The sequence below is a fragment of the Homo sapiens genome, chromosome 6, assembly GCF_000001405.40.
Source record: "Homo sapiens chromosome 6, GRCh38.p14 Primary Assembly".
NCBI lineage: Eukaryota > Metazoa > Chordata > Mammalia > Primates > Hominidae > Homo > Homo sapiens.
The window spans coordinates 96,063,726-96,086,063 of NC_000006.12; the positions used below are offsets into that span (position 1 = coordinate 96,063,726).

At 34.1% G+C, this 22,338-nt stretch overlaps 1 protein-coding gene across 4 annotated transcripts in view; it reads left to right on the plus strand.

Annotated features, from left to right (window-relative positions):
- Positions 1–22,338, plus strand: part of FUT9 (fucosyltransferase 9) — a 199,639-nt gene that overhangs the window by 47,752 nt on the left and 129,549 nt on the right. The window lies entirely within an intron of this gene.

Consider the following 22,338-nt stretch of genomic DNA (forward strand, 5'->3'; position numbering starts at 1 on the left):
AGTGAGTACATAAAGTGGGAAGCAAAAAGTTTTATCTTTGGAGACGTAATTTGGTGAAGGATCCTGAAGATGCCACCTATACCCTGCGCACCAGGCAGATGCACCAAAGTATCTCAGCCAATTTCATTGAGATTCAGACTGGCAAGGAGCTTATGGTAAAGTCTTTATAATTGAATTAAAAACTTAAGTAATTGTTTCTGTTATTTAAACTCACTGGAAAAGCTTCAAAATGAGACAATGATTTGAATGAACCAGTAGTCTCTTGGTTACACTATTAGGGATAATAGATATCCCCATCGATCTAGAACTTATAATGTCACAATTGCTACCAAAGTTCACAGGACAGTTAGTGTAAGGAAATCCAGAACTACTCACATTGGGGTAGAACAATTACCTCATTTTTGCTAGCTCAGGATTAACCATTAGTGGATAAGTTGCTTGTTCACACTGGCTTTCTGTGATAAAGAACTCATCCTGCACCTATTATTAATGTTATTACCATGGTATTCAACCAATAGTCTCATATCTTCATCAGAAACTTGTTACCTATGAGTTTAGTACTGAGACCCAGCCTGGGTCTCCCTGCTGAGAAGGAGAACTGAATGAGGGGCATAGAGAGTATAGTAATGGATCATGTGGAAAATGATGTGTTTTCTTTGAGCATTCATCACCCCATACTGGCAATGTACAAAGAGAATGTGACTGACTTGCAGGTGCATAGTAAAGACAGCAAAGAAAAAAATGAGGGGGCTGATGGCGTCATTAGAGCAAGGAGCTCTTAGAGTCTTCTCATTCCCATGGGAGAACTTGGCACAAAACCTCTACTTGGAAGTAACTTTTCTTTGGCTCCCAGCACACACACACTGATCTACATTGAAAAAAATACAAACATAAAAGTAGCTCTTATATAGAAAAGTGGGTGGATCTTTAATCAGTTTGATTTGTCCTCTATTCTTGGCTTATTTGTAAGTAGCTTCTATTCAAACCATTCTTTATCTTTATCTTTCACCTTAATACACACACATGCATGCATGTGCACACACACGCAAACACACATACACACACCATTCAATTTTCTCCCCACCTCAGCCTGCATTAGCTATTCTAGAACTGAATGTCGAAGAAATCTGTTGAGAAAGCTGCTGTGCTAGCCAAAGCAATGAAGAATTATTTTATGTGTATGAAGAAATATTGTAGCATAGAAAAGTACATCTCAAAATATGTTCTTAGATTGCTACAACACAATACTCTAAACAGTAAAAATGAAAATTCCCTTGCTTCACTCCACATTTGGGGTAGGGACCAAGAAATCTATATTTTTAGTACATGTTCCATGTGAATTTTAAGAACAATGATTAGTAGAAAGAACACTAGATTAGATGTTTCTGGAAGAGTTACTAGTGTCACGTCGTAACTCTTCTTCTTCCTGTCTAGGTAGACTTGGCCAAATTATAAAAATATTCTGAGACTTAGTTTCCTTATTGTAAGATAAGGCAATTAAACTGAATTCCCATGGTGGGGCAGTCAAGGTCGAACTAATAAAATTCACTGTCTAGTTGTTCAGTATGAATGTTTTGAAATGAACTAGCCATACAAACAATGCTCTCTTAAGGATTTGCCTTTCAATTTTTCCTCTCCTTGCATGCTCTGAGAAGCCTCCTGTAGCCACAGGAGCAAGAACACTTGGAAAAAATATGTTTATTGAGAAGATTGCCAATGGTTACAAATTCCTGGCAACTTGCTCAGTTCTCTAAGTAATTGGCCATGTGGCTACTCCATCTAATATGATGGGATGTGACCAGTATGTTAATAAGTACAATATTGTTCTATCTCTTTAAGCTCCAAGTCTGTGAACTTTCTCGGGAATTTATATGCAATTTGAAGAAATGTGAATTAAAAAAAATTGTTAGCATTTGCTTTGTTTTTCATAACATTTCCTCCTTTGGGATATGTATGTAGACAACAGCTACAAAACTGCTATAGATCTATTACTTTGAATTTTTAATTACAAGCTATATGCCTAATATACTTTATTAGAAAGTTTGGTCCTCTATGACATAAATAACAAAATTGATAGGAAATTCTCAGTGAAAATACTTAACAGTTATGATCTGCAAGATAACAGAAAGGAATAGATTGTTGTCGCAAGATAATGGTTGCTGACTGTGAGATAAGTGTCAAGGCAAAGTCATTCCAAAGTCTGGCCATTTATCAAAAATGAACATTGAAGAAAAGTAGGATACATTTATCAAGCAACTGTTTTAGTACAAACATTTTATTTTTCTTTTCCTAGCTAATCTATGATTTAGATGCTGTCATTTCACTTGCCAGGTATTTGTGCAGCTAAATGACTCAGGTCACCACTGCATTGTTTAGAGTTACACAACCCTGATTTTTGAGTGGTTATTGTGTTTATCCCAATAACTACCTTATAGTAAGGAAATAGTTAAGAAAGTTAATTGATTGGGCTCTGTTTTAGTTTCTTTTTTCTTTCTATTTAGAATTTTGCTTATTCTCATCTGTTTCTTTAAAGTGATTTAGTATGGTTCACATTAAAATGCACATTTAATACATTTGTATATCAATATAATATTGATATAGGATAGAAATTTAAATAAAAATCTAGAACTAAGGGGAATGATAATCAGAATTATTTTATTATAAGCATTATGATTCTAACAAGTATACTGATTGCTCTACACATTGTCCTCTGTGACAGATGTGGCTTATTTAACCACAAGTATGATATTATCATTTGGTACTGACAGGGCTATTGTCATCCGAAGCCATTTATTCCTGTCACCACTCATAAATTACTGTAAAAAAGAGGCCACTGTTCTCCTAATTTAACATGTTCTTCCACATTCCAACCATGATGGTGATTTTGTAATCCATTTGTCTTCTTAAAGCAATAGGACCATAGGCCAACTTCCTCAAATGGAAAGCAAGCCCCCAATAATTAGTAAGCTGATAGAGTACATAAAAATCTTTGTATAACTCATACAAATATATGTACTTTATTTCCAGAACTACTTGGGAAAGGCATTACTTGCGGAATAGACATAGTAAAGATTTTCCTCGTTCTCCTCCCTGAATATTCAGAGAAACTGTGTGTGGTATACCTCTTCCAGAATCTTGCCTAATTCCTGGATCTTGCACACTCAATTTTTTCAGTTGTAGGAGAGGCTGAATTTTTAAAAATGAACATCATGGACCCTAAAATATGGTTTACCTAAAAGCTTTATATTCTTCATTACTTTCTTAATTCATTCATGTGTTCAGCCAAAACTTATTGAATAGCTGCCATGTGCAGAGTATTGTATATTGTTAAGGTTAAAAAATATAGATCAATAAGGCATGACCTCTCCATTGAGGAATTCCTAGCTTAAAGGATATTGATATATATGTATACATATATATATATTTATATATTTATTAGGCTATGGATACATAAACTCATTAGGCTATGAATATATATATATATGAATATATACATATATGTTGTATACGCACATACTCATGTTTAGGTAATAATAAGTAATCATTACAACTGGGAACATATGTTTGAGGTAGGGTTGAGGGGCAAGTGAAGAATGTCCAGAAACTTAATACAACTTTAGAATATAAAAGACCTTGTGTACTTTGTCAAGAAGTTTGAATTTTATCCTGTATGAAACAGAAAGATTTTAAACAGAAAACAGAAGTGCTTTAAACATAGGAATGACGGAGTCACACCTGATCGTATCAGAGGCATCATGAAAGCATAAAATATTGGAAGTGGGAAGTCTTTGCTACACTTTAAATAAGAGTTAGTGGTTGCTTGAAAAAGCAAAGGGGAGTAGAGGTGATGAGAAGGGCATTGAGTATGCAAGAGACCAGATTGACAGGTCTTGGTAAATTATTTAGGGATATAAGAGGAAAAAATGACTCAAGGATGACTCTGATGCTTTTAGCTTTTAGCTTGGAAGTATAGAATTGTGGTTGGAAGTATAGAATTGTGGTTGTGTTTCTTTTTTAAAAAAGAAAAAAAGAACCAACTTCGTGTGGAGACTATAAAGCTAGTTTTTCTACCTTTTATTTTATCAGTATGTCCTTGGGCAATTTCCTCAAATTTTGTGCCTAAATATTCTTACTTATAAAATATGTAATACGTATGTTTACTTCATAGGATTGTTGTGATGATTAATGAGTTAGTACATGTAAAGCTCTTAAAATGGTGTCTGGAGTATAATAGGTGTTGAATGAATGTTTCTTTTTTATTATTACTATAATGTCACTATTATCATACATCATTTTTATCATTATAATTATGCATTATCTGAATTAATGAATTCCAACAGAAAAGATGATTTTGAAGAAAATATAATGAATCCAACTTTGGATTAATCATTTTAGTCATCCAGATAGAAGTGACAAGTTTGAAATGCAGTTCTGGAAAGAGGGGACAGCTAGTGTATATATTTGGAAATCAACCATGTACAGGTCATATTTGAGGCCATGAAATAGCTTGGCTTGCCCAAGAGGAAAGTATAAGAAAAGAAAAAAAGACAGTAATATTGAGAAACAAAACAATCCTCCTAGAAATAACAATACTTAAGGAATGAGTAGAAGATGGTCCTCGTAGTAGTCTGAAGATCAGAGATATACTAGAAGACCATGCAAAGACGGGTGAGTTAACCAAAAATACCCAATATGAAGATGAAGAAAACTGCATTGTCAAATTCTATAATAATAGTATGACTCAGCCTAAAGAATGTTAGTTGGAATTCTACAAATAATTGTTATGAATGAAGCAATTAATTTGATAATTGAGACATCATTGGTGACATAGCAAACTATTTTTATCCTTCCTCTATCGCATTGATTAGCATCTGAATAAATTGAAAAATAAATGTGAGACTTAAAGCAGTTTAAGTAGTGTTAGGTATGAACTTCAGATTTCAGTGGGCTAAGCTGTTACTAGAGAAACGAGGAAAGTTATGCTTTGGTAAAAATATAATTGTAGATAATATCTTCTCTTAAAATGAGTTATATGCCACCTAAACTTGCTATCCTTCATGCCATTGTGAAAATAGTGTTTGTAAATTTTGTCCATGGGCTGAGGAAAGAAGCTACCCATATATGGAGAACCTAAGAAAATGAACTGGAGAAAAAAAGAAGTAAAATTGTGAAGTCAGATAAACTGTCTGGAAACAAGCATGTTAAAATCCAAAGACTTTTTGTACGCAGATAATAACCAATTAAAAATATAAAGAAAATAGGATTCTATTTACAGAAACAAATGTAAAATATGATAGTTAAGAATCATTGACCGGGCGCAGTGGCTTACGCCTGTCATTCCAGCACTTTGGGAGGCCGAGGCTGGCGGATCACGAGGTCAGAAGTTCAAGACTAGCCTGGCCAACATAGTGAAACCCCATCTCTACTAAAAATACAAAAATTAGCTGGGCATGGTGGCACGTGCCTGTAATCCCAGCTACTCGGGAGGCACAGGCAGGAGCATTGCTTGAACCGGGACGCTGGTGGCGGAGGTTGCAGTGAGCCGAGATCGCGCCACTGAACTCCAGCCTGGGCTACAGAGCATGACTCCATCTCAAAAAAAAAAAAGTAAAGACAAGAAAAGAATCATCTTACCAAGAAATGAATGAGATCTACAATATTTTGCTGGGCTTAATGGAATGAGTAATCAGATTGCCAAATGAGAAGATTGGAAAAAATCTTAGTGACAAGATTTTTAAAAATATAGTTAATTTAATTTTAATAAAAATCTCAATAGAATACCTTTAGGAAATTTAAAAATCAATTTTAAAATTCAGAGAAGTGAATAATTTTTGGTAAGATAATTTCAAGGAAGATTAGTAAGTAGCTAAACAGAACAAACTATTATTTTTTTATTTTTTTATTTTTTATTTTATTTTTTTGAGATGGAGTCTCAAGGCTCTGTCGCCCAGGCTGGAGTGCAGTGGTGCGATCTTGGCTCACTGCAACATCCACCTCCCAGGTTCAAGCGATTCTCCAACCTCAGCCTCCCTAGTAGCCGAACTACAGGCGCGCGCCACCATGCCCAGCTAATTTTTTTGTATTTTTAGTAGAGATGGGGTTTCGCCGTGTTAGCCAGGATGGTCTCAATATCTGGACCTCGTAACTTACCCTCCTCGGCCTCTCAAAGTGCTGGGATTACAGGCGTGAGCCACCGCACCCAGCTAACAGAGCAAATTATTAAAACACAGCTAAAAAAACACACAAAATAATTAAAACAGAGATCAAAGAAAAAAATATAATGGGCACAATTCATGAATAAATTATAAATTATTCATTATTTTACAAACAATAGTGAATGAATTACAGAATATTTAACTTCCTTAATAATAAAAATATGCAAACAAAAAGCACTTGAGAAATATTATCTTACCTTGTTGATGAGCTGATAAGTGAGGGGACACCTATCCTAGTATGTTTGATAAAAATAATTACATACTTAAAATGTTTACATTCTTTGTCCCAGAATTGATATTTCTGTGAAGCTATTTGAACAACATTGAAATACAGAAAAAAGACATTTATTTAAATACATTTATTAAAGCATTATTTGTAATCACAAAATATTGGGAACCTTATAAATGTCCCACAAAATGAGAAAAGTTAACTATGGCAAACCATATTATGTAATACTATACAAGCCTTAAAATTGTAATTATGCCTGTAATTCCAGCACTTTGGGAGGCCAAGGTGGCAGGATCGCTTGAGCTCAGGAGTACGAGACCAGCCTGGGCAACACGGGGAAACTCCATCTCTACAGAAAATACAAAAAGTTAGCTGGGCATGGTGTGGCACACCTGTAGTCCCAGCAACTTGGGAGGCTGAAGTGGGAGGATTGCTTGAGCCTGGGGAGCAGAGGTTACAGTGAGCCGAGATTGTGCCACTGCACTCCAGCCTGAGCGACAGAGGAAAACCCCATCTCAAAAAAAAATTAATTAATTAATTTAATTAAGTTAGAATTACATGGAAAATCATTATTATAAAATTTTGAATAAAAACTTGAATGTGAAAATATGTATGCAGTTTAACTTACAAACCAGAATGTATATGTATATGTATAATATATCCTAGATTCTCTTTCAATCATTTTTCTCTTGGGATCTGAATTATGCATTGCTTTGCTAAGGATGCAGTAATCTAAATAGAAACATTGAAGCATATGTAAGTAGGGGCTTATCAGATAGATGTTAGTCTTCTCGCTTAAATTTAGCATATATATTTAATATTACTGCATGACAAAATAAATATGAGCACTCTCAAAATGAGTTGATGAAAAGTGACATTAAAACAATCTCAGTCTATCAAGGTAGCTAATGCATATTGGATAAAAATTCTTTGAAATCTAATTTTGCATTTTATGAACAAATTGAAAGTAAAGAAATTTCAGATGTAGTAGAGGACTTTTTAGAATTAGGATGGAATTCTGACAGCAGATGTGTCTGCAGTTGGAAATTGACTGCAGGTCAGAGGTGCTGTTCTGCAGCAGCAGTCATTAAAACAGCTCCTGTAAGTGAGGAAGTATGTGGGGCTATCTCTGGGAGCAATTTACCTCAGATAGGATTTGTTCTAGTTGTCTGGTAAGGGATAGTATGTTCTGGGAGGTAGTTATTATGGAGAGGATAAAGCTGAAAAATATGATGCAAAAATTAAGAATTTATAACAATGTTTACACATTTGCCCAGATATAATAACTATTAATTTTCTGCCTCTATTATTCATTCTGATTAATGATCACAGATAAAATAATTCTGGAAGTAAAAAAATTGGTTTGCCCATGGCAAATCAATTATTTTAAAAATGAAGCTTAAATGTCGTTTTAGTGAAGAGTATAAAGAGCAATGGGCTGCAAATCTGAATACCTGGAAGCTATGGCAGTTTAACCATTACTACATCAACAAAGGAGCAAGACTCACGGCATTTTTAAAAATTGTCACTAAGATCTCTTCTATCCCTAAACATCTATGACCAAAATTTTAACAACAGCCAATCAATAATTATATAAATGATAATAGTTAATATTTAAAATTAAAATTTAAGTTTTTTTTTCTTTTGTAGAGACAGGGTTCCACTATGTTACCCAGGCTGGTCTCAAACTCCTGGGCTCAAGCAATGCTCTCATCTCAGCTTCCCAAAGTACTTGGATTATAGGCGTGAGCCACCACACCCAGCCCAATAATAGTTAATTTTATTTATTGTGACTATTAAACTAGATGTGGTGCAAAATGCTCTCTATGAATTATTCTTTTTAATACTTGCAATGACTTCATGAAATACATTCTATAGGCTGGGTTCCTAGGCAATATAGTAAGACCTTATCTCTATTTAAGAAGAAAAGAAAAGAAATAGGTTCTATTATAGACTCCATTTCTTAATGAGAAACTAGGGGTTTAGAGATGTTAATTAACTTGCTGAGGTCATATAGCTGCAAGTAGCAGAGTCAAGATTCAAACCCAATTGACTATAAATCCCAGACTCAGAACCACTACACTACCCTCTCTCCATATCTCTTATCTTATTTCGTACCACCTTATTTCTAAGCAGTCAGAGCATAGGAATGACTGATTATAAATATGGAAAATGTGCATTAAAAACACTAATGATGTAAAAAATTGTATCTTTCTCCTATTATTCTCTGCATCACTTTGTAGATTGCATCACAAATATATCTTTGTCAAATACACTGAAAGAGCATTTTTTTCCTCTCTATATACTCACTTGTCGGAATCTTTAAAAACAAAACAAGGGAGAGGATCATGTTTAAAATTACTATTCCATAAAATTACTAGTCCATAATGATGTCCACAATTCACTAAGCTTGGCACGTACCTCTATGGGGTATGCACATGGTTATTTTTATAATGCCTTTGTGTTCCATGAATTTTTGCCTTATTCAGATAGAAAAAGGCAACTTTTTTTTCTATCTGAATAATGAAGTTCACTGGTTAATTCATTAGTGAAAGAAGATTTTTTAAAGTTTGTCATTTTGTGCTATATTTTAACTGAAGTACTTTGATGTTAATAAAAATTGCACAAACATAGCTATGTAAAGTTTATAGTTACTCTAAGCATGAGTAAATGTGGCTAATGGATACTTTCTAGTATATTGAGCAGATAGTAATTATGCACCATACATAAAGCCTTATTTGACAGGCATATGTCAGAGCCAGCATATGTAGGGCACTGGAGTTACAGAGAAGAAGCAGACACTCCTCCTACCTTTAGGAGTCTTTCCATCTAGCTGGAGAGATACACATGAACAAACAATCAGAAAACAGAACAAATGCTCTGACTTGCAATGTGAGCACAGGGAACACCACGTTATTTCTACCTGGATATAGTGGGAGGATGGAAATCAGATGTCTCACAGAGAAGAAGAGATTTGAACTGTCATTAGAAGAAACATTGGCCAGGTGTGGTGGCTCATGCCCGTAATCTCAGCACTTTGGGGGGCCAAGACAGGTGGATCACAAGGTCAGGTGTTTGAGACCAGCCTGGTCAATATGGTGAAACCTCATCTCTACTAAAAATACAAAAATTAGCCAGGCGTGGTGACACACCCCTGTAGTCCCAGCTACTCGGGAGGCTGAGGCAGAATAGTCGCTTGAACCCAGGAGGCTGAGGTTGCAGTGAGCTGAGATTATGCCACTGCACTCCAGCTTGGGAGACAGAGTGAGACTCCGTCTCAAAAAAAAAAAAAAAAAGCATTGAAAAGATAAAGGATGGTATTACTGATAAACATGCAACGCAAGTAAAGGCCTAAAGGCCAGTGAGTGTGTAGTATTCAATAGGATATAGGATAAGCAGGTCTAAATATCAAGAGTGAGGTCAGGTTGAGAAATGGATTGAACATTATCAGTATCTTGCTATTAATTAAAATCTTTGCACAGCATGAGAAGCAGAGCTAGAAGAATAGAGGCTTGAAAGGGCGATGGGGAACAGAAACATTAAAGGCGCGAGATGCTAATGAGGGGCCCAAGATGGTGCTTTAACAAATTGTTTCCCTCCTTATAAATTGTTCTATATCCAGTGCTGCCTCTCATTAGCTGTGTAACCTTGTACAACCCTCATCCTGACACAACATCTGTCATCTGTGGAATGAAGAAAGACTCATTCATTCATTCCCAACTTGAATCCCCACAGGTAGTAATGGAGTTTTCAAACTAAACTAAAATTCCATTTAGATTTTCAGTATTACAAAATAACAGTATAACTACGGCTTGTTTACTGATTTAAAATCTTTTAAAATTTAGGGCCTGCAATTAAAATAATAAAAAATATCTACTAGTGAGAAGGTTGCAAACCATTAGCCCAGATGATTCCAGTTCTAAAAACCTGTTATTTTATTATCTCACCGAATATTAGCAGTAGTTGGTTTTTAACATAAAATTTGTACTGCACCAAACAATATCCACAGTGTCCCCATCCCTGAGAATGCAGCCTGCCTGGCAGCTGCACGTGGCCTATTAGCACAGCCGTTTACATAAAATTTGATGATGTCTGTTTTCTTTGGTTTGTTAAAAAATAAAACACAGCATTTACAAGCAGAGCTAGAAGAATAGGGTCTTGCAATGACTTTCTTCCCAGTCATTTCTTGGGAAGAAAGCAAATGGTATAATGAAAGTAATATTGAGTTTGGACATGAATTTCCTGAAGAAGCCAAGTTTATTAATATATAGTTAGGAGTCAGATTTTTGTTTAATAATAAGGCTCTTGGAAGAAACTAAAATTAGTCTTCTGGCATGTCCCTTTTCTTCTTTGTTAAAGGGATAGGATCATAACTGCTCTCACTTCATACTTCATGGACATTTCCTAAAGAATATTTTGGAGTCTCATTGTTCTTTTGAACATTAGGTTCAAAAATAAGGTCATTTAAAAGCAATATGGTCACCTATATAACTATAGTTTTTAGAAGAAAAATTACCTTTATCTCTAAAACTTTGCTGTTACAATCAAATATTGTCACTGTATAAAATATAGGCAATAAAGTAATTAGATGGTTTTAGTTTTAATTTAATTATTGTTTTTTTTAAGAGACAGGGTCTCATTCTGTCTCCCAGGCTGGAGTGCTGTGGTATGAACACAGCTCACTTCATCCTGGAACTCCTGGGTTCAAGTGATCTTTCTGCCTCAGCCTCCTGAGTAGCAAGGACTGCAAGCTCACGCCACCATGGCCAGCGAATTTTTTTTTTTTAATTCTTTGTAGAGACAGAGGTCTCACTGTGTTGCCCAGGCTCATTAGAAACTCCTGGCCTCAAGCAACCCTTCCACCTTGGCCTCCCAAAGCACTGGGATTACAGGCATGAGCCAGCACACTGGGCCTGATTTTAGTTTTTAGGCAATACACCTATGTATTATATAGATGTGTGTGTGCGTGTGTGTGTAGGTGTGTGTGTGTATTTCTGCTTTGTCAGTTACTAGCAGAAAGCTACTATAGCACATAAATCAGAAATACAACAAAAAGTTTGTTGTGTTAGGAGCCAAGTTTGAAACTAATAATAGTGAAGACTTTAAACAGTAGGAGAAAAATCAAAGTTTCACATTCCCTTTGCATACATCAGAAACAAAGCCTTCGACCAGGGTTTGATACCAAGAAAACTTGAGAAACCATGGAATCCTAAATTTTAATTTTGTACCATTTCATATTTAGCATCTGTAAGAAAATGATGGAAATTTTGTGCTTCAGAAATGAATCTCACTTTCCTGACAAATATATATGTATATATACTAGTTCTTCTTCTTGCAAAAGCAGGTTTGACATATATACAAACTCAAGTTACTTATGTATAACTTTTTATTTCCTTAACTTTTAATAATTCATTCATTTCATTATATTTTGAAAGGAAAATTATACGGACTTGGATCTTCTTATAATATGAATGTATAACTGAATCTAATGGAAATTAGTACACATTTTAAACCTTTAGATGTTTAAAACTGCCTGTCTTATTCAGGCTAGTGCTTCATCAGCTGAAATTAGTATCAGCCGATTCCTTAAATTTTATGTCAACTTAAGTTCACTGACCGATTTGACAATGGGTCAATGAAAGAGGCCTGTAGGATTCTAAAGTTTAATACATACATAAGTAAAAGAATGACATTTCTTTTCCCCTCGTACATGTTTTGCAGTAGGTATTAACAAATATTTATATCCCCAAATAGCCTGTTGTTAGAGTGGGCTTTGTTCTTCCACCTCTTAAAACATACCAGAAAGGATAGTTACACAAGCTGCATTGTCCAGACTATGTCACCAGCCTATTATTTACTATAAATAATGAAATGACTGGGCAAGTGGTCTGAAGTGAGCTGTGACTCAGGGCAGTCAGTTTCTCTGTGGGTAACATATCCATGGAATTCAGAAATAGCCCAGATTTTCAGGCCCTTTCTTTAGGAGCTGATACTACATAAAGAATGCTTGCATGTTTGCATTTTCTACACCAAATGGTACTTTATAACTTGATGTCAAGATTTAAGGAAATATAGGAAGACTATTTTGGGCTGGGATATAAAGGAGGAAATATTAATAGTGATTATTAAGATATCTTTACACAATGTTAAGGACTGCAAGTTCACTTGATAGACAGCCTTGCTGGTAATCTGGGAATTACCTGAGGGCTTTCAAGTGGCTATTGAATTAATTTATATTGCTTTGTGAATATAAATTGCAGCCTTCCTTCATCCAAGGAGACAAATATCCACATGCTTTTTGAGTTTTCACCTAAAATATTTAGGCCCATTAAAATAATTTATTTAGCATTTCGCCATGTGAGATAAAACTGACAAAGCCATCTGATTTCTTTCATTTGAAAATGGAACTGCTGAGAACAACATATATACTTGGCATTGGCTTCATAAGTATAAAGTAAATAATTTAAATTATTGTCAATGTATTATACTGTTTGATATATAGAAATATAAATATTAAACTCCTAATGAAATTCAAAGTTAACATAGGCATGTTGTAACACTGTTTTATGTTTGCAGTGTTATTTCCTCTGGGCAGTTGACATGTTTCTAAGAGTAGTTATTTAGTTCTCAAATATACCACATGAACTGCTCGGCTGCAAATGTTGTTGGCCTTGTTTTACAAACTGGAACACTTTTTTGAAGTTTATATATCAGATAAACAAATAGACTGTAATAAGGAAACTTTGATTATTAGTTCACTGATGGCTCTCTTCATTATTTTATGAATATGCAAAATTTTTATCAGAGCAATATGCTCAAAAGCATAAAACCATTATATAATACAAAAAGTCTAGTAAAGGAACACTTCCATTCCCTCCCCAGCCCTTGCCTTCCCCCAGATTGACACCTCAGAGACACAATACTCACAAATACACAAATGCAGACATGGTTCTGGTATAATTTTCTTATGATGCTGTGACTTCATTAATCAATGCTATTGTTGTTTTTGACTTTGTGTTATGGTAATGAGGTTAGGATCCTCACAGTTGCTCCCCCACCAACACACACACATACACATCCCTTTTACCCAATCTCATAAACTAAGAATATTAGAAACTTTAGTCAGTTTATATATTATTAGGATTGTGTAGGTACTCATTTTTGATCTAAATTCTCTACTATTCTTTCTTATACAACTTCATGTTGTTCTTGGAGTTAATAATTTCTTTTTCTTTATTAATGTGCATGGTTTTCTACGTAACTGTTCCTATTTTTCCATAGTTTATCCAAACTATCAAAAGCCTTTTAATGTAATTTTTAAAAACTCAAAATTATCTGGTAATCTATCGGCTTCTTCCCCCTCCTCTCACCTTGTAAAATCTCCTGCTGGAGCTCTCCACCCTTTTTCCATCTGGATTGATTGTTCTTTAGTCTCAGCAAGCAGTGATCATTCTGTAGATTCCCTACAGCTCTTTGTTGGCTGGATTATTGTTTTCTGAGTTCTCTTTCTGGGTTTTCTCTCTTGCTTTTTTGGAGCATATCCTACAATAACGTCTGAAAGAACACATGAAAATACACTTTGGAGTCTTTATGTGATATCAACTTTAATCTATCCTCATTCTAACCTCACACTCAACTAATAATGTAGTCAATGCTTAATAGCCAGTGTTTTGTGGTTAAGAATATTCCTTTGGTTGTTCCTTTTTATGTGATCTGCCTCCACATCAACTTTATAGTCTCCATTATTTGCTCTTTATCCCTAGCGTTCCGAAATTTCAAGGTGCTGCACACTGTAAGAGTTTCTTTACAACGTTACTTTCTTAGGTATTCAGTGAGCACTTGCAGTCATGATCTTAGTTATTTTGTTCGTGTTTATTAAAATAATTTTTAACTTGTTTCCTCTGTGTTCTATTTCCGGGATGCATATGAATGAGATGTTGGACCTTCAGAATTGACTCTACTTGTTTTAATTTTTTCATTACAACTTTCTCCCTTTCAATTTTTTCTACATTCCGGGAGATTTCCTCAACTGTGTTTTTCAAATTTTCTACTGGAATTTTAATTTTGGTTATATTTCCATGAGCTTTTTCTTGCTCTCTGGCTGCTCTGGCTTCATATAATTCTGCTTTTGTTTCAGAGATACATCTTCTTTTATAGCTCAGATATTCAATACACCTTTCCTCTTATGAACCTTCTTACAGTGTGCTTGCTTTGATCTCTTTCTTTCATATTAGTCTTCTTTTTTTTTTTTTTTTTTTTTTTTTTTTTTGAGACGGAGCCTCGCTCTGTCCCACAGGCTGGAGTGCAGTGGCGCGATCTTGGCTCACTGCAAGCTCCGCCTCCTGGATTCGCGCCATTCTCCTGCCTCAGCCTCCCGAGTAGCTGGGACTACAGGCACATGCCACTACGCCCGGCTAATTTTCTGTATTTTTAGTAGAGACAGGGTTTCACCGTGTTAGCCAGGATGGTCTCTGTCTCCTGACCTCGTGATGAGCCCGACTCGGCCTCCCAAAGTGCTGGGATTACAGGCCTGAGCCACCGCACCCGGCCCATATTAGAGTCTTAACCAAATTTTTCATGATCGTTAATTAGGCATTCATAATTAAACAAAGGTCAAACAAAACTAATTGAAGCTCTTTATGCATTAGGTGCAATTTGCTAGATATATTTCATTTACCGTGATTAATCAGTGAGTTGGTCTTTTTTCATTGGGAGACATCAATATTTAGGCTTTTGCTTCTCCTTGCCCCTGCCGCCAACCATTCTGTTTCTGAAAAGAAGACTCCTTAATCTTCTTATTTAAACATATATTCCTGTGGCTAGAGTTTTGGGCTCAAAGAGTCCCACCATTTCATTTTCAGATCCTTGCTGCCTTCCTGTATTTGGCTCTGATCTGCACTTTATTTCTTTACTCCTCTTCATACGTGCCCATGTTCAGAGGCACCATGTTTTAATTTCTCTTGAAAATAGATATTCAAGATTTTTTCCCTGTACATTTTCAAAGGTGGGGAAGGGAGACTAGGAAACACCAGATTTATATGCATTCCTTCGACCAACCTTCCATTTTCAACAACTTTAAATTTCCACAACACTCAGTGCCTTCAAATACTGAGCTTTTTGGACACCACAGCTATATTGACTAGTTTCTTGTCACTCTCCCTCTCTCTAGGTATTTAGGTGGCATCTGAAGTCAGTTACTACTCTCGAAGTTAAGTCAGTTACTATTCTTTCATTTGCTTTCTGATTCCTCCTGAAATTGTTGAAATCTTTCAGGTGCTGATATTCCTCTCTGTTTCCCATTCCCCTTGAGTATTTAAAGACATATTATTCCTTTACAGTCATTTTGGTAAGGTTGTTGAAAGGCAAGAAAATAAATGCATGAGATTAATATATCATTTTTAATGGAATATTGTTTTATTAGTCTTCTCGATATTGGCATCACCAGTTTGTCTTCTAATGTATGAGACAAAATGTTTCTGAGGACATTTAGGATAATAATCCTATTGTTCTACAATATGTTTCTAGTGTAAAAAACATCACCTCCATCAGAAAAAGCAACATAATCGGAACTGAAAACTTTCATATTTTTTAATAGTTTTGTGAAAAAAATAAGAACTCTACTACAATGTTAGCTATCAAAGTCCATTGGCAGGACAATGATGTATTTTAATAGCATAGGAAAAACTACTTGCTAAATTTAATAAACTCTAAGAAAATAAAAGTTTACTAGGGGAAAATAAAAATGGATATAGCTTTAAAAAAATGGAAAACAATAATGATTCTCACCAAAAATATTGTCTTTGCCTTTACAACAATGTATCTGACAATATTATTGCTTTGTACTTGAAGAAGTAGAATAAACTCAGGACATTAAATATCAAAAGAAATACAAATTCATATATATTTGTGACTTTGCACTTTTTAAGAAGTTATATTTGAACAAATCATGATGAATAAAATATTCATCAAACCAGTATTCAACATTTTATTTTTGCTAGTTTCTATGATCTATTTCTCAGTAGTTCTCACAAATAAAGCTTAATTGTGTTTCTAAAAAAAAAGCCAGAAAGAATGACATAATAATTTTTTCAATGGTTATTTGTAAGAGGATATAAAAGTGTAGCTATAAATAACTTCTTTAATAATTGTCTAGAATCTAGGACTTATTTTAGTAGACTTTACATAAGAGGAGTGAAGAGATCAATAAAATGAAATTTTAAGGTACATTTTTCTATGCCTTAGGCAATTTAGTGAAAGAAGAAAGAACTGAAGTGAAGCAAAGACGAAAATGTCTTTGCCTACTTATTAAATGTATGTATACTCTGCCTATTTCAAAACTGAATTTGAAGTAAGGTATTACAAATAAAACACTATATTGGGAAAATTATGATAAAAATAAGGTATTTAAATGTTCCAATGATGATTAAAATGTAAATAACTCATTTATTCAAACTTTAATATTTGAAAAATCATGTCTTGACCATGTACCTTCTTCCATTTCAATCCACAGTCCTTCCTAAAGTGGTCATATCCAGTTCCATGGTTTAAAATGAATGCCATCTGTATGCCATTTGTGCCTAAATTTGTATCATCAGCCTTGGTATATCTCCTTATTTCAAAATGCATATATCTAACTGTCAACTTGAGATGTTCTTGGGTATGTCTATTATACATCTCAAAAATGGCAAGTCCAGATTCGAACTCTTATTTCATTGGTAAACATATTTCTTATTTGAAGAATTAGCAACAACATGTACCCTGTTTATTGAAAGCACAATCTTGAGATTAATTTATAATATCACATTTTCATTCATTATGCACATGCAACACATCATAAAATCTTACCAGCAATAACACCAAAAATTGTTTGAAATCTGTCTATTCTCTCCATCTCCATTGCTAAAATCCTATTCACACTAGGATTTATTTTTACTAGTTATAATATCTGTAAAATATTTCATGAAAGAAACATAAAAAGTATATGTAAAGTTTAAGGAATATTTTTCAATGAATATTTAACATCATAAATAAAACAATATCAATAATTTTGAGGCTCCTTAAATGCTAATTAAATTGCCATCCATTTCTTGCAATGATTCACATGTTCTTCATTTTCTTACTTTTTAAAAAGTATTCTTTCACACACAAACACACACCCTTCTTGGATAATACATTTTTTAGTTTTGATTGTCTTTGAATTTTTCTTAAATGAAGTAGTATTGTATATATTTTTCTGCAATTTACTCCTTTCTCTCCACATCTTGATTGTAGATTCACCTATGCTGATACGTCTATTTGTAGTTCATTTGTTTTTATTGTTCTACATTAGGCAATTGTCTTACTATCTTACAATGTATATATAAATTCTAATATGGGTAAATATTTGAATGGCTTCCAAGATGATGGTTGTGGTTTTTTGATGTTTCATTGTTGTCCTTCTGGATTAAAAACAATGCTACTACAAACATTCTGGTAATAGTCTATTGTAAGTATGTGCGAGAGGTTCTACAAAGTACATATTTAGAGTAGAAGAACAAAGTTGAGATTTCCACATGTTCAAATGCAATAGATTATGCCAAACTATTAAGTGTTTGTGCTGATTTACACTCACATTAGCAATAGTTGAACATTACACTTTCTCCATTCCCTCACCAATACTCATTATTGTCTCTGACTTTTAATTTTTGTCCGTCTGTGGAGTATAAGGAGGCATCTTTTTGTTATTATAAATTTTTGTTTTCCTGATTGCTAATGCAGTTGAGCAATTTTTCTTTACTTAATGGCTGTTTATATTTCCTTTCCTCTGAAATGTACATTTGGTCATTTAAACATAATTTTATTGATTGTTTTGTAATTATTGATCTGGAGAAATTCTGTATTCTCAACACTATAGTCATTTGTTTAATCCACTTTTATAAATACCTTCTTCCAGTTCAGGTCTTGACTTTTTACTCTTTTTATGGCATATTCAGTTAATAAAATATTTATTTTAAGTAAATATATCAATATTTTCCTTTTGAGTTTGGATTTTTTTTATTATTCTTTAGCAGAAATTTTTCAACCCTTGAAGTGCGGTGATATTTTTCTATATTGTCCTCTAAAGCTTTTAAAATTTGCCTTTCACATTGAAATATTTAATACCTCTTAAAACAAGCTTTGAAAATGACACATGTAGAGATTTACTTTCACTTTTTTTTTCAAACAATATCCAGATCCCGGCACCTTAAATAGTATACTATTTCCTGATGATCAGCAGTATAACAAATAGAGAGATTCCATACATGAGTGGGTCTATTTTAAAACTATTTCTGCCATTGGCTATTTGCCTATTCCAAATACCACATTGTCTGAATTATATAACAATAGCTTCATAATATGTCTTTGATGTTTTGTATAGCAAATTTCTTCATCTGATACTTGAGTCTTGGCTAGTGTTGTCCCTTATTTAGCAGAGAGTCTTGGCTAGTGTTGTCCCTTTATTCTTCTATATGCATTTTAAAAATTAGTTTTCAATTTTCTTAAAATCTTTAAACAATTACATTGAACCTATCTACTATTTTTTGGAGAAATTGCATCGTTAATATATTCAGCCTTTCCACTCAAAAACATGTTATACTTCTCCAACTCTAACTTACTGGGGATTTCTTTAATGTCTTTTAGTAAATTGTTATCATTTTCTCAAGAAAGAGCTTTGTGCATTGGGTTTACCTACTTATTTGTTTATTTGTTTCTAGATACTTTATGTTCTTGGCTACATTAACCATAAGGGATATATTTTCTGGTTGCTTCATTTAGAAATGAGAGTTCTTCAAAAATTTTTTTAGCTGGAAAATGACAGTAGCTTTTTAACTGGGTTCTCTGTTTTACTTTTGTCTCCCTATAGTCCATTCTCCTTACTATCACACACTGAACATTTTATATTTCCTTATTCTTTGATGTGTTTGTGACCTATCCTTTCTCACCAGAATTCAGTTTTCTAAGAGTAGAAACTTTGTGTTTTCTTATCAACACTGAATCACCAGTGTCTAAAACAAAGTGGGCACTTAAAAAACTTGAATGAATGAATGAAGAGGTGAGTCACATGTATTAATATTTCTGAATGTGTAAGTCAAGATAAGGGCTCTGTCTTTCTCACAAATAGATAGATTGTATTGGCTAATAATTAATCAGCATAGGCCAAAATTTTGGAGTTGCAAAACAAAGACTATTTATAAGTAGCAGATAATATTAAAAGGACTGCTGTCCATTTACTTATTCTATTCTGTTCTCTGGATGCATTGACTTACAAGTTATCATTGAACATAGCATAGAATGATATTGTTGATCACAGGTCACCTAGTTCTACCTTTCATCCAATGTTCTAGCCTCTCTATTGCATCTTTCTTGAGTGCCAGCTTTCTTGAGTGTTAAGAGTTCCACTTAAACCCCTTCAGCAGCTGGCATCACACCCTCTTCTCAGATTTCCATTCCATTGTCAAGTACAGTTCGTCATACTGAACTAAGCTCTGCTTCTCTTGAGTTACCATTTATTGATCTGAGCTTTGACTGCCAGATCCTCCACATTAAAAAGAAATAAATAAAAAAGAAATTCACCCTCTTTTAGCATAATAACCCTTCAAATATTTTAAGTACTGCGTTCGATATAATAGCATTTCTCTTATTTAATCTAAGCATCTGTTTATTTTCATGCATGTATTCTTTCATCTATTCTTGATGACTATTTCTTGAGTGTCTTCCAGACTATTTCTTGAGTGTCTTCCTTGTGTCAAGCATAGAAAAGGTGAACATTAATAATTTGAGAAAACATTCCTTCTCACATGTCATTATATGATAACTCCCTGAGTTAGGTCTTAACCTTTCAGAATGTACTTGTCAATTGAGTAGATATTTAGTTGAGATTTGGGGCGTCTTCTTAATTCTAGCCATAACAATGAACTATTTTTAACAAGAAGGCGCTTAGGAACTTTGAAAATTAAAACAGAGAGAGAGATAGACTAAAGTGACTTATCACACTAAAAGTCAGACTGTCTAGAAGATCATATCTCTTTATTTCCTTTTAACAACTAAAATAATTTTAAGTTGATTCTCCAAAGAATTCCATCAAAGAGAAGATCTTAAATTTCCTGGAAAGACCATCTGGCACTTTTTATAAGTGTTATGTTGTTTTTTAAGCTACAGAAAGCGCTCTAAGAAGAAAGCATTTTGGGATAAAAACTAAAACAAAAAATTTCAGTTTTCAATTTTGTCCCAAATCACTCTTGTCAATTACAAATATATATCTAAATATCCCAGGTTTATCTCTAATTCTATTAAAGCTAGAGCTTAAATGACTTACCTTAAAGTTGACTGGTAGTTTTTCAGAGTGTGAAGTTAATTTTCTCACACACACGTTTGTGACTGACTGTGCGAATACTCAGTTATTAGCAAATTAGCAACACAGTAAATGTGTCTCATAGAAATTAGACTAAGGGGACTAGCTGTATATGAGCCATAAAACCTATAAATCTTGTGGACAAGATCTTGACATACAAATTAGAAATAGAAATTATTTTGAAGCCTTGGATACTGATAGTTGCATTACTTAGCACACTATGGTCTTCAGTCCCAACTTCTCATTACTGATTCCCATTTGTATGTCTTCACTCTCCACAGACATTTACTCTAATGTTTGATATACATCCCTGTTTATATATATAACCCTTGCAAAATATACTATGTTTCGTGTGTGTCTATTATTTAATTATTTTATATAAAGGATATTATGATGCACCAAGTGTCATAAAGTATTGTTTTGTTCAGTTTCTTGTTTTACTGAATAATTTCTATCCACATTGCTAAATGTATGTATTTCCCAGTTTGACTATTTGAAAGGACTTATCAGGCTCCACAGAACATATTCGCATAAGGCTTTTATTTAAATTTTTTTAAAAATACAGTACAGCAAAAGAAAAAGTGTATAAGCAAACATTAGAGATTCCAAAGATATGCCATGTACAGGGCACTATTTCTGGCATAGCTCAAAGGATGTCTTAGTCCATTTGGGCTGCTACAACAAAATAGCATACTGTGTAGCTTATAAACAATAAGAATGTATTTCTTATGGTTCAGGAGGCTAAGAATTTCTAGATCAAGATGCCAGCAGAGTTGATGTCTATAATCTATAAGGGCCCTCTTCCCTCATAGATGGCAGCTTCTAACTGCGTCCTTGCATGGTGAAAGAGACTAGCTAGCTCTTTGTGGTCTCTTTTATAAGGGCACTAATGATATTCCCAAGCGTAGAGCACTCACAATCTAATCACCTTTCCAAGACCGCACCTTCTAATACCATTATCTTGAAGTTTAGGATTTCAACATTTTTGGAGGACACAAACATTCAAACTATGGCAAAATATAAGTTCCCTGGGAAGCCTTTCTTTGTCTTTTTGGCTAAATAAACAAGCCAGGTTTGTCAAACCCCAGTGGACTAGATGCAGTCATAAGGAAAAAAACTTACCCTGGAGGTTCTCAACACATCATAAATTCAACTTCCCTTATCTTGGCCAAGGGTCAAATGCAAACACTCAATGCCCTGGAAATATAGAGTTTTTCAGCATAGTTATAAATTAATTCTATCTCCACAATGTACTCTACTTCATTGCTTCTAATTGCTTTATAGTAGTTCATGCCTTGCATCCCTCAAGTATTATTTAGTCGTTCCTCTGGAAATGGATACCCAGCTTTCCAACTGACACAAACAACATTGTTATGTTTATTGGTAAATATCCTCTTGTGGGCCTATATGAAAGTTTCTCTGTGAAAATTGGATGTAAAATTACTTATTCATCAGTAGGACAATTGTATAATTTATCCTCCACACTAAACTAATTTTAAGAATGGAAGAGGGTATTATTAATA